Here is a 13907-nt window from a genome sequence, read left to right on the forward strand (position 1 = left end):
ATTGTTTACATAGAAAATCATAAGAAATCAAGGAACAACAACTAGAAATAATTAGTGAATTTACCAATATCACAGGATACATCAGTATTTTAAAAATCAAATTTTTTTACTAGTTGCAAACAATTGAAACACGAACTTCAGAAAATAATACCATTTACAATAGTACCAATAACAAATTACTTAAGAAAAATTTAGCAATAGATGTTCAATTAAAAACTACAAAACTCCACAAAGAGAAACTAAAGAAAATATTTTTAAATGGAGAGATATATCATGCTTATGGATTGGAAGTTTCAATGCATTAAGATGGTAATTCTCAACAAGTATGTTGGAAAACCTGGATAATCATATGGAAAAAATGAACCTTTACTGCCACCTACCACCATAAATGAAAATTAAATTGAGATGTTTCATAGATGTAATTATAAAAGCTGAAACCACAAATGTTCTAGAAGAAAATACAGAAAAACATCTTTGTGAGTTGAGAGTAGGCAAAATTCTCTTAGGACACCAAAAACTCTAAGCAGTAGTAAAGAAATAAAATTACTTATCCTTTGGCAGCCTTTTATGTCAGAGGATGTGTGTTATACAGATCAATAACTCACACATGGAATGAGGGGTTCAACAGTCCTTAGAATCACGTACATACGCACAGCACACAGATGGACATGGTCTGTGGGTAAGACAAAGAAGTCTGTGTTCTGCCTGTGGTAGAGTATAGGTCAGAGCAAAAGTGGATTATAAATACGATTTGAGAGGTACGTGAGCCAGCCCAGAGTAGAGAATATATTGGCCTGTGCCGTTAGGAACCCTCTCATTTGACCAGAAATTGGGATGCCTTTTTCAATTTCCTTCCCAGGCAAATGTGTGTCCCCTCCATTCATTCCTCTGATAATGCTCACTCACTCCTCCTCGGGCATAGATTCTGCTCCCAGAATGATATCTGCTTCTCCTTTCCTTGCTCTGCACCTACAAACTTCTGTTAGAAATGCCCAGGAAAACGGTCTCTCAACCACTGGATATGAGTCCCCTCTTCTCTCAACTAGTGTGATCACCACGAATAGTTCATATTCAGCTCCCAAATATTAATTCCACTCAGATTAGTGCCCACAGCAGGGGACAGCAAAACAGCATGTTTACTTTAAGAAATGCAAATAAGGGCAATGATTTTTTTTTTACATTGAAGACAAACCCAAAATAAAAGTTCTTATGATCATCGTCTTGTTTATATTCATCAGACCCCTGGCTAAGCCATTTACTGGAACAAATCCACATTTTTATTCATATTGCTAACAGAGAACCCTAACCAGAAAGAGAAAAAGGGAGGGGACACTGGAATATGTCATCTGGAGTGTAGACAATAGCTGTAAAATGCGGTTGGGGGCCGGGCGCGGTGGCTCAAGCCTGTAATCCCAGCACTTTGGGAGGCCGAGGCAGGCGGATCACGAGGTCAGGAAATCGAGACCATCCTGGCTAACATGGTGAAACCCCGCCTCTACTAAAAATACAAAAAAATTAGCCGGGCGTGGTGGCGGGCGCCTGTAGTCCCAGCTACGCGGGAGGCTGAGGCAGGAGAATGGCGTGAACCCGGGAGGTGGAGCTTGCAGTGAGCCGAGATTGCGCCACTGCACTCCAGCCTGGGTGACAGAGCGAGACTGCGTCTCAAAAAAAAAAAATTAAAAAAATTAAAAATAAAAAAAATTTGCTTGGGTACTCCTAAATAAAGCAACAACTATTCAAAATTACACAGAAGAGGCAGAAGTGGTGAAGGAGGTGGCAGATGAACAAGAGAGGCCATGAGGAGTTGGTAATTGCCAAAGATGACTCATGTGAGGACACAAAGGCTCATTATTTTATTAAGCCTACTTTGTATATGTTTGAAATTTTTAGAATTAAAAGTAAAAATATCTAAAAATAAGACTTTACCAATTTGACATGCAGCAGGAATGATTAGGGTAGGATGCCATGGTGTACCCATGCGTGAGGGAGAGCCAGTGACAGTGATATGGACAGGAGACAGAAGTACTGGGTAGAAAGGGTGGTTTCCCAGCAAAGGCCCCACCCTCAAGCCTGGAGACGTGCAGCTGTAAATAGGGACAGGCATTCCTGTTTTCATCCCCAAAAAGTTGTCTTTTGACCCACCATGCCCCCTTTCTTGTACCCATGTAAACCCCAAACCCCAGGCTTCAGAGGCAGGCAAGCAGGCTAGGAGACAAGCAGAGGGAGGGCGAAACGACATGGCAGAGAAAAAGAGGAGGAACGTCTGAACCGCGAGAGGAGTTCAGCTGGGGGTGGTCAGAGAAGAGTTCAGTCCCTGGATGGCCAAACTCCAAGGGGAAGATCATCTTCTCACCCCATCCCCTCTTCCAGCTCCCCATCCAACCCACTGAGAGCCACTGCCACCACTCAATAAAACCCCACATTCATCCTTCAAGCCCGTGTGTGACCCAATTCTTCCAGGACACTGGGCAAGAGCTCGGGATACAGAAAGCTGTCACACCGGCCCTCCGCCTTTGCAGAAAGGCAGAGGGTCCACTGAGCTGGTTAACACTCAAGCCGTGCGCGGATGGCAGAACTATCTGCACACTTGGGCTCCTGCATCTGTCCGTCTGCGTGTTCCCTTTCCCCTCAGGGGTTTGAGCCCCTGCAGCAACCGAAGAGGTGAGCAACACTCCTGTTGCACGTCCTTCCAGGGGGGTCAGGGAACTCTCCTTTTTCACCAGGACAAGCACAGATCTGAAGCAGCAAAGAGCCAGTTGTTTATTACATTGGACAATATCTCACACTATCACTATAACTGTTCTGTGCTTGCAATCTGCTGCATTAAATATTAAACTCTTGCCTCCTAAAGTCAGGAATAATTTATTTAGAATAAAATGAATTATTTAATGAACCACTGTATTTTCAGCTAATTCAAAATAGGAATGAAGGTGTTAAGTGCTTCTTTGAAGCACATACCCACATTAAACTAACACCTTTCTACAATAAACCAATATTTTTAATAAAGCTCTGTGCCCAGAAAACACTGACCAGAAAAGCAGGAGCCACTAAAAAATTGGAGCAATTTGAAACAAAGTTAGGAATCCTGTCATTCTTAAAACAAAAAAGTCTCAAACTTTACAGAGAATGTATTCAAATTGCATAGTTTACCAAGAACCGAGTTAGAATAAATGATTAAGCACAGAAAAAAAAGGAGAACAATTATATTGTCCTATCATTCAAGTGAGACTAGACTCCCTTTATTCAAAATTCAACTTGGTTTTGAATTTTCTCCAGCCTGCTTTATCAGGAGGATGATGTCTCCTTGAACAACTGAAATAGATATGCCTTGAGAAAGGGGAGAGATACAACTCTCTGGTGGTTGTCAGTAAAGCACCAGAGAGAGAAGAGAAGCAAGTACAGGAATTTCAGCATCTGCTAAGAACATCTAATACATAAGCCAACATGGCATCTTTAAGACCCAGTACCTTGGAAGGGACAATGACATCACTTCCTGAATCCTCCTAGTTTTCTATTTCCATGCCCTGCTTCCCTCAACATCCAGAGCTGGAAACACCTCCATCATTCCTCTTCATGCCATGGCCTCCCTGCTCCTCTTCTGTGTGGCCTTTTGTCTCCTGGGAACAGGTGAGTTTGGAAAACAGATGGGGAAATCACTGCCTTAAATTTTCCAGGTTCTGGATTAAGCCTATCCATAGAGATTGCAGCTTGAAGACATTTACCAGTCTCTGTCTTCAGTTTCTGTCTTATTTCTCCACAGGGTCCATGGATGCTGATGTTATCCAGACCCCAAGGAATAGGATCACAAAGACAGGAAAGAGGATTATGCTGGCATGTTCTCAGACTAAGGGTCATGATGGAATGTACTGGTATCGACAAGACCCAGGACTGGGGCTACGGTTGATCTATTGCTCCTTTGATGTCAAAATATATAAACAAAAGAGAGATCTCTGATGGATACAGTGTCTCTTGACAGGAACAGGCTAAATTCTCCCTGTCCCTAGAGCCTGCCACCCCCAACCAGACAGCTTCTAGGTTACTTCAGTGCCACCAGTGATTTCCACAGTGCTTCTTGGCCACCTGCTCTCTACACAGAAAGACAGACACATGGGTGAGTTGTTTGCTCTGAAGGGTACCTGGATGTGGTTTGTGGGATGTGGGGTGTTTAGAGCTTTCAGTGGTTTTAGGTAGTGTGAGCTAAGGGCCACTTTGGATCAATGTCCTCAAGCCATGTGATGAATCTGAAACCACAGAATCAATCTCCCCTATTTTATTCTTCCTAGGGAGCTAGCCCAATGGTGACCTTTCAGGAGAATGAACTTGAGCATTTGACAGAAGCTCATGATTTTCAACAAGAGCATTTCTTATAAGCTCAATACAACGTAGTTTTTATAGTCTCTTTGCCATTATCTCCACCTGCTTTGCAATATCCCACACTTTGTTCTGTTCCCACAGACAACTCTTTTATCCTGTCTAACCTTTCTCTGCCCCAGTTCTTCCAAGCTCAGCTCCACCATTTAGCTCTATATTTGATTGCCTTTCTACTAAAAACAAAATAACTAGCTTGTTTTCTAAAACTTCACTGTAAGTAAATTTAATTATCATTAAATCTGACTCAGAAGCTAAAGTTCAAGTATCAGAGACTGATTTACAAAAGTAATTTTTCATCTACTACCCCACACTTTCATCTCTGCTGAGATTCATTTTAACGTGCAGATGCAGACAGACTTGCAATATTATCTGGATGTACTGAATTTCAAAAAATAAAATTCCCTGTCCCCAGTATGAGGTCAAAGCTAGGAGCTTGGAGGTGCCTGTTTTCTTTCCAGGCACTGGAATAATTCCCTGGTTCCCCTGCCGTGGGAGTTCTTTTAGGAGCCAGGGAGGCCCAGGCACATTGATCAAGGACTGCCAGAGCTTGATGTAAAAGTCTTCCTGAGAGTCAAGTTGATGTCGTCCTCATGGGTTTTGTCTTCTTGTCCCACAAGCCTCAATTATTTCAGCAAAAGAATCCATGGGACTTGGTGACTGTTCAGAAAGAAAGAATCCAACTTGTTCCCTTTTCTACCTGTTCTCATGTGAAAAGAATGTTACGCTTAGGGATTCTTTCTCATCTGCTTTCTATTTAAAAAGCAGGTTTCTCCAGAGTTTTGTTTCCTGCTTTCTATGCACACCTCGTCAAGTCTTATCAGCAATAATTCTTTCCTCATAAGCTATTAACTATCCCAATTAATTGTCTCCTGGACATTTCTGATAGATTACCCCAGGATTTTTCCTTCTGCCCTCCTTTTTCCTCAGTATACATATTTTTCCTCAACCTTCCCATTCATTGTCATGACAACTTCTTTCACAGGTTCCTGCCTGGCAAATTCAACTATCTACTGGACACTTCCAGCTGGATGCTCCACAGGCAATTCAAACTCAGTTTACCCCTGAAATGAACTGTCTCTCCATCCTTGCACTTGCCCATTTTGGCCACACACTGTATTTCTATCTCAGTGATTGGAACAGCCATTCTAGGTTCCTCATTTTTGCTATGCCTCATATTAAATCAGTTTCTAAATCTATTACTTCTATATCCCACATTGTCATGGTTTGTGTTCTCCAAAAGCAGATTTTGAGAGGGAAATTAGTGTGCGGGAATGTTTGTGGAAACTGCCCTTGCAGTCCACGTGGGCAGAGAGAAATGGGGCAGAGGGAGAAGTTGGGCTGTGCTGTATCCTCAACAAAGTCCTTCACTGACCCCACAGGGAGCTCTGAGTCTGGATGGTCCTTTAGCGCCATCCCAAGGTGAGATGGCAGGTCTTATTCCCACTTTCCTTGTAACCATGTCATTGTATGAGTTGCTCTGAGAAGCACTCATGAATTTAATGGGGAGGAAGTGTCTCTTTAGAACAAGGCCATTCACAGAGAGATGTCAGCATCACAGTTTCTAATGCACACATATTTGTCTGATTCAGCTACCCCTCTCCCTCCTCATTGCTTCTACCTCAGTGCAGACCCTCATCATCCATTGCCTAGAAATAAATGCAATGCCCTCTCCCTGGCTTACTAGCTTCTTACCTCTTTCCCTTACCCTATTTCTCACATTGCCACCAGCATGACCATGTACGATGTTCCTTACACAATACACAAAGCCCTTCAGAAATAGTTCTCAAACTAAACATCTGGCCAAATTGGCCGAATTCACTCCAGCACTTTAGACTCTAGTTCAATTGAACTTTTTATATTTCCCTGAATATACCACGCTGAATTGCACAGGTGTACTTTTGCCAAAGCTCTTTCCTTCATCTGAAATGAGCTTCTCTATTCCTTTTTTGTCAAAACTAATTTTTTAATTTCAACTTTTATTACAGATTAAAGGGCACATGTTGTGCAGGTTTGTTACATGGGTAAATTGCGTGAAGCTGAGACTTCAGGTCCCAACGATCCGATCACCCAGGCCATAAGCATAGAATCCAACAGGTGGTTGTTCAGCCCATGCCCTGCTCCCTCCTTCCCCTGTCTAGTGAGCCCCAGTGTCTATGGTTTCTATCTTTACAATCATGCGTATTCCATGTTTAGCTCCCACTTAAAAGTAAGAACATAGTATTTGATTTTCTGTTCTTGCATTAATTGCTTAAGATAATGTCCTCCAGCTCCATCCATGTTACATAAAGGGAATGATTTTGGTTGTTTTTTTTTTGTTTTTTTTTTTACGGCTGCATGGTATTCCATGGTGTATATGTACCACATTTTCTTTATCCAATTCACTGTTGATGGGTGCTTAGGTTGATTCAATGTCCTTGCTATTGTGAATAGTGCTGCAATGAACATAATGGGTACATGTGTCTTTATGATAGAATAAATGATTTCCCTTTGGGTATATACCCAGTAGTGGGACTGCTGAGTCAAATGGTAGCTCCATTTTAAGTTCTTTGAGAAATCTCCAAACTGCTTTACACAGTGGCTGAACTGGTTTGCATTCCCACCAACAGTGTATAAGTGTTCCCTTTCCTCTGCAGCCTCACCAACATCTATTATTTGAAATAAATCTTGAGTGCCTGGCTAATCCTCACACATCCTTTAATTCTCAGGTCAAAGATTATCTATAACAGTTTTTACAACTTCTGTAGACAAAGACTCAGCTTTTCTCTTGTGTGTGATAGTTTATGCATTTCAAAGTTATCATAGTTGTTATGTTCCTTCATATTTCTTTTCTTTAGCTTTTATTTTAGGTTCATGGGGACATGTACAGGTTTGTTAAACAGTTATGTGCAAACTGTGATGATGATCGCATTATTTTATGGTTGCATAGTATTCCATGATGTATATGTACTATATTTTCTTCATCCAGCTTACTGTTGGATGAACCTTTAGGTTGATTCCATGTCTTTGCTATTGTGAGTAGTGCTGCAATGAACATCTGTGTGCATGTGTCTTTATGACAGAATGAGTTCTATTCTTTTGGGTATATACACAATAATGGGATTGCTGGGTCAAATGGAAGTTCTGTTTTAAGTTCTTTGAGGAATCACCATACTGCTTTCCATGATGGCTGAACTAATTTACACTCTCACCAGCAGCATAGAAGCAATCCCTTTTCTCAGCAGCCTCGTAAGGATCTGTTATTTTTTGACTTTTGATAATAACCATTCTGACTGGTGTGAGATGGTATCTCATTGTAGTTTTGATTTGCATTTCTCTAATGATTAGTGATGTTGAGCATTTTTCATATGCGTGTTGATCACATGTACACCTTTTGCTGAAAAGTGTCTGTTAATGCCCTTTGCCCACTTTTTCATGGAGTTATCTGTTTTCTGCTTGTAAGTTTAAGTTCCTTATAGATTCTGGATATTAGACCTTTGATGCATACACAGTCTGCAAATATTTTCTCCCATTCTGTAGATCATCCATTTACTCTGTTGATAGTTTCGTTTGCTGTGCAGAAGCTCTTTAATTCGGTCTCATTTGTCAATTTTTGATTTTGTTGAAATTGCTTTTGGTATCTTCATCATGAAATCTTTGCGAAGTCATATGACTAGGATGATATAATATTTCCTAGGTTATCTTCCAGGGGCTTTATAGCTTTAGGTTTATATTTAAGTCTTTAATCCATCTTGAGTTGATTTTTGTATATGATATAAGGAAGGGATCCAGTTCAATCTTTTGCATATGGCAAGCCAGTTATCCCCAGCACCATGTGTTGAATAAAGAGTTCTTTCCCCGTTGCTTGTTCTTGTCAGCTTTGTCAAAGACCAGATGGCTGTAGGTATGTGGCATTATTTCCTGGCTCTGTATTCTGTTCCATTGGTCTATATCTGTTTTTGTACAGTACCATGCTGTTTTAGTTACTGTACCCTTGCAGTATAGGTTAAAGTTGGGTAACATGATGCCTCTAGCTTTGTTCGTTTTGCTTAGAATTGCCTTGACTATTCGGGCTCTTTTTTGGTTCCATATGAATTGTAAAATATTGTTTTTTCTAATTCTGTGAAAAACATCGTTAGGAGTTTGATAGGAATATTAGGTTAATGCAAATGTATTTGCAGTTTTTGCATTGTTGAAATTTGCCATTTGGTATTGAAATACATTCTTAAGTAAATGTGGTTATGTTATACATCATTTTAATGCACGTTTTCACTTTATGCTTTTTGCTAATTACTTATTACTTGATACTTATTTGGTATTTATTTTAGACTATCCACATGGTGTTAGACAAAAAGCAGATTAGAGAGATTTTCTTATTTGAGTTCAAAATGGGTTGTAAAGTGGCAGAGACAACTCGCAACATCAGCAACGCATTTGGCCCAGGAACTGCTAATGAACATACAGTGCAGTGTTGGTTCCAGAAGTTTTGCAAAGGAGACAAGAGCCCTGAAGATGAGGAGCATAGTGGTGGGCCATCAGAAGTTGACAATCACCAGTTGAGAGCAATCATCGAAACTGATCCTCTTACAACTAGGCGAGAAGTTGTCAAAGAACTCAAGGTTGACCATTCTACAGTTGTTCAGCATTTGAAACAAATTGGTAAGGTGAAAAAGCTTGATAAGTGGGTGCCTCATGAAGTGAGCAAAACTTTTTTTAAATTGTCATTTTAAAGTGTCATCTCTTATTCTATGCAATGAACCGTTTCTTGATCAGATTGTGACATGCAATGAAAAGTGGATTTTATATGACAACTGCCAACAACCATCTCAATGGTTGGACCGAGAAGTTCCAAAGCACTTCCCAAAGCCAAACTTGCACCAAAAAAAGGTCATGGTCACTCTTTGATGGTCTGCTGCCAGTCTGATCCACCACAGCTTTCTGAATCCCGGAAAAACCATTACACTTGAGAAGTATCCTCAGCAAATTGATAAGATGCACCAAAAATTGCAATGTCTGCACCTGGCATTGGTCAACAGAAAGGGCCCAATTCTTGTCCATAACAACACCTCACCGCAGGTTGCACAACCAATGCTTCAAAAGTTGAATAAATTGGGTACAAACTTTTGCCTCATCTACCATATTCACCTGACCTCTCACCAACCAACTACCACTTCTTCAAGCATCTTGTCAACTTTTTGCAGGGAAAATGCTTCCACAGCCAACAAGATGCAGAAAATACTTTCCAAGAGTTCGTTGAATTCTAAAGCATAGATTTTTATGCTACAGGAATAAACAAACTTATTTCTCATTGGCAAAAAATGTGTTGATTGTAATGGTTCCTATTCTGATTAATAAAGATGTGCTTGAGCCTAGTTATAATGATTTAAAATTCACCAAAACCACAATTACTTTTGCACCAACCTAATACCATCGAATCTATATTGCTTTGGGCAGTATGGCCATTTTAATGATATTGCTTCTTCCTATCCATGTGCATAGAATGTTTTTCCATTTGTTTGTGTCGTCTCTGATTTCTTTGAGCAGTGTTTTGTAATTCTTGTTGTAGAGATCTTTCACTTCTCTGGTTAGCTGTATTCCTAGATATTTGTTGTGTGTGGCAATTATGAATGGAATTATGTTCCTGACTTGGCTCTTAGCTTGTATGTTTTTAGTGTATTGGAATGCCAATTTCTTAATGTTGATTTTGTATTTTAAAACTGCTGAAGTTGTTTATCAGATCAAGCAGCTTTAGGGCAGAGACTATGGGGTTTTCTAGATATAGGACCATGATCTGCAAATAGGGATAGTTTGACTTCCTCTCTTCCTATATGGATGTCTATTTCTTCCTTCTGCCTGATTGCCCTGACCAGGACTCCCACTACTATGTTGAATAGGAATGGTGAAAGAGGGTATCTTTGTCTTGTGCTGGTTTTCTTTTTATACTGGCTCTTCACAAGGCTATATATTCTTTAGTTAAGAGTAGACATCTCGATGGACCAGTGACTATCACCCTATTAACCAGTCACAGGAGCACTGCCATGCATTTGGTATTTTAGTTTTCGGGTATGCTATCACATCACAGAAGGCCTGGTCCCCTCCCCATCACCTGCAGCCGGACTTGTCTTTGATTCCTACCAATCACCTATATTAGCTGTGCCTAAATTCAATATTCCAACTGGGCGTAACCACCCTAAGGTGCTAATTAATTCATACTTGAAGGACATAACAGTAATTAATAGACAAACACACACAACCGCTCCCCTTATTGGACTTTTAAAATAAAAATCTGCAATGCCCCCTCCCCCATCTCTGACTCCATCAACCCAGGAAAAAAGACACCTTGCCAAACTCCAAAAACAAGTAAGCCTTAATTCAACTCTGCCAGACCCCAAAATATTTGTATTTTAGCTTTGGTTATCCCCAACAGCTACCCCTCAACTAATGCAAATTTTTTAAAGAAACTAAGCCCCCACCAATGTAATTCTACTTTTACAACAATTATATCTAATATGCATGCCCATCCATTACTAAGCCCATACCCTAAATTTACACACCCCAAAAAACCTGTGACTTCGTACTACACCAACCACTCGCCAGTACTAACATCTACTCCACCAACTCCTGCTAACTCAACTTTAAATCCCTGAACCCTACAACTGTGAATATTGCTTGTATCTTCTTCTATACTCCAATTTTGCACTTAACATATATACAGTTAATGTAGCTTAATTATTTAAAGCAAGACACTGAAAATGTCTAGATGGGCTTATACAGCCCCGTAAACAGACAGGTTTGGTCCTGGCCTTTCTATTAACTCTTAGTAAGATTACACATGCAAGCATCCCCATCCCAGTGAAAGTACCCTCTAAATCACCTTGATCAAAAGAAGTAAGTATCAAGCATGCACAAATGCAGCTCAAAACACTTTGCCCAGCCACACCCCCACGGGAAACAGCAGTGATAGATCTTTAGCAATAAACAAAAGTTTAACTAAGCTATACTAATATCCAGGGTTGGTTAATTTCATGCCAGCCACCGCGGCCATACAATTAACCTGAGCTAATAGAACTCGGCATAAAGAGTGTTTTAGATCTATCCTTAACAACGCTAAGCGTCATCTAGGTTGTAAAAAACCCTAGCTGAAATAAAATAAACTACGAAGGAGGCTTTAATACTTCTGAAGACACAATAGCTGAGACCCAAACTGGGATTATATACCCCCCAATACGCTTAGCCCTAAACTCCAATAGTTAAATCAACAGAACTATTCACCAGAACACTACAAGCAATAGCTTAAAACTCAAAGGACTTGGCGGTGCTTTATATCCCTCTAGAGGAGCCTGTTCTATAATGGATAAAACCCAATTTGCCTCACCACCTCTTGCTCAGCCTATATACCACTGTCTTCAGCAAACCCTAGCAAAGGCTGCAAAGTAAGCACAAGTATCTACGTAAAAATGCTGGGTCAATGTGTAGCCCACGGTGGTAAGAAATGGGCTACATTTTCTACACCCAGAAAATCTCACGACAACCCTTATGAAATCTAAGGGCTCAAGGAGGATTTAGCAGTACATTAAGAGCAGAGTGCTTAATTGAATGAGGCCATAAAGCACGCACACAATGCCCGTCACCCTCCTCAAATATTACTTTAGAGATTAGTTTAACTAAAACCCCTACTTATTTATATAGAGGAGACAAGTCGTAACATGGTAAGTGTACTAGAAAGTGCACTTGGATGAACCAAGGTGTAGCTTAACACAAAGCATCTGGCTTACACCCGGAAGATTTCACCATAATTTGACCACCTTGAGCCAACTCCAGCCCTAAACTTAACTAATAGTACTACTGAATAACCTTAATCAAACCATTTACCCAAACAAAAGTATAGGCGATAGAAATTTTACCCTGGCGCAATAGACATAGTACCATAAGGTAAAGATGAAAAAGTTAACCAAGCATAAATAGCAAAAATAGACCCTTATACCTTCTGCATAATGAATTAACTAGAAATATCTTTACATAGAGAACCAAAGCCAAGGCCCCTAAAACCAGACGAGCTACCCAAGAACAGCGAAAAGAGCACACCCATCTATGTAGTAAAATAGTGGGGAGATTCATGAGCAGCAGTGATACGCCTCCCAAGCCTGGTGATAGCGGTTGTCCAAGATAGAATCTTAGTTCAACTTTAAATTTACCTACAGAGCCACTTAATCCCCCTGTAAATTTAACTGTTAGTCTAAAGAGGGACAGCTCTTTAGACATTAGGAAACAACCTTCATGTAGAGAGTAAAAAACGTTATCCCCATAGTCGGCCCAAAAGCAGCCATCAATTAACAAAGCGTTCAAGATCAACATCCAACCACTCTAAATTCTAATCACACCACTGAACTCCTAACACCACATTGGACTAATCTATTACTTTATAGAAGCAATAATATTAATATAAGCAACATGAAAATATTCTCCACTGCACAAGCCTACATCAGACCAGAATAACCCACTGACAATTAACAGCCTAATATTAATAATCAACCCAACAAATTTATTATTACCTATACTGTTAATCCAACACAGGCATGCTCTAAGGAAAGGTTAAAAAAGAAAGGGAACTCGGCAAATTTTACCCTGCCTGTTTACCAAAAACATCACCTCTAGCATTATTAGTATTAGAGGCGCTGCCTGCCCAGTGACATATGTTCAACAGCCACAGTACCCTGAGCGTGCAAAGGTAGCATAATCACTTGTTCCTTAAATAGGGACTTGTATGAATGGCTCCATGAGGGTTCAGCTGTCTCTTACTTCCAACCAGTGAAACTGACCTGCCCATGAACAGGCAAACATGAATAAATAAGACGAGAAGACCCTATGGAGCTTTAATTTATTAATGCAAACAAAGCTCAAATAAGCCCACAGGCCTTAAACTACTGTCCCTGCATTAAAAATTTTGGTTGAGGTGACCTCGGAGCATAATTTAACCTCCGAGCAACCTATGCTAAGACTAAACAAGTTTACGTGAATTACTATACATATATTGACCCAATAATTTGATCAACGGAACAAGTTACCCTAGAGATAACAGCGCAATCCTATTCTAGAGTCCATATCGACAATAGGGTTTACGACCTCGATGTTGGATCAGGACATCCTAATGGTGTAGCTGCTGTCAAGGGTTCGTTTGTCCAATGATTAAAGTCCTACGTGATCTGAGTTCAGACCGGAGCAATCCAGGTCTGGTACATGTGTATTTAAGTCCTCCACACCTCCCATCTACAAGTCTCTTTAGAACAAAGAAAATATGTTTGGTTAAGAGAAGGCTGGAAAAAGAGGGGGTTTTACTGGACAAAAAATGTATAGAGACTTATGTAGCAATTATTATCTGATATTAATATCTGATGGTACTACATGATTGAGAAATAGAGTGAAGTGACATAATCCCAAACATACATGGGAGAATGTTCGGGGAAATCAAAGCTGTTTTCCTAATGGAATCTGAGTTTTGAAAAAGAAGACATGCAAAGGGGGATGTATACATATGAAAATATATGAAATATTTCTGTTTT

At 40.2% G+C, this 13907-nt stretch overlaps 1 pseudogene, besides 6 other annotated features; it reads left to right on the plus strand.

The window, feature by feature from the left end:
• On the plus strand, window positions 3579-4061 carry TRBV24OR9-2 (T cell receptor beta variable 24/OR9-2 (pseudogene); annotated as a pseudogene). The gene is given in 2 exon segments: window positions 3579-3627; window positions 3761-4061. Coding segments are annotated over 2 exon segments (350 nt in total).
• Window positions 4062-4068: a recombination feature (RSS heptamer).
• Window positions 4069-4091: a recombination feature (RSS spacer).
• Window positions 4092-4100: a recombination feature (RSS nonamer).
• Window positions 5599-5893: a silencer, noted in NCBI's record as "tiled region #1692; HepG2 Repressive non-DNase unmatched - State 22:ReprW". NCBI's record gives its function as "represses a minimal TATA promoter and a strong SV40 promoter by Sharpr-MPRA in HepG2 cells {active_cell/tissue: HepG2}" and the evidence as "EXISTENCE:reporter gene assay evidence [ECO:0000049][PMID:27701403]".
• Window positions 11119-11413: a silencer, noted in NCBI's record as "tiled region #11708; HepG2 Repressive DNase matched - State 22:ReprW". NCBI's record gives its function as "represses a minimal TATA promoter and a strong SV40 promoter by Sharpr-MPRA in HepG2 cells {active_cell/tissue: HepG2}" and the evidence as "EXISTENCE:reporter gene assay evidence [ECO:0000049][PMID:27701403]".
• Window positions 13045-13245: a silencer, noted in NCBI's record as "peak7219 fragment used in MPRA reporter construct". NCBI's record gives its function as "represses an SCP1 promoter by STARR-seq MPRAs in K562 erythroleukemia cells {active_cell/tissue: K562}" and the evidence as "EXISTENCE:reporter gene assay evidence [ECO:0000049][PMID:32103011]".

Source organism: Homo sapiens, chromosome 9 (genome assembly GCF_000001405.40).
Source record: "Homo sapiens chromosome 9, GRCh38.p14 Primary Assembly".
In the NCBI taxonomy this organism is placed as follows: domain Eukaryota; kingdom Metazoa; phylum Chordata; class Mammalia; order Primates; family Hominidae; genus Homo; species Homo sapiens.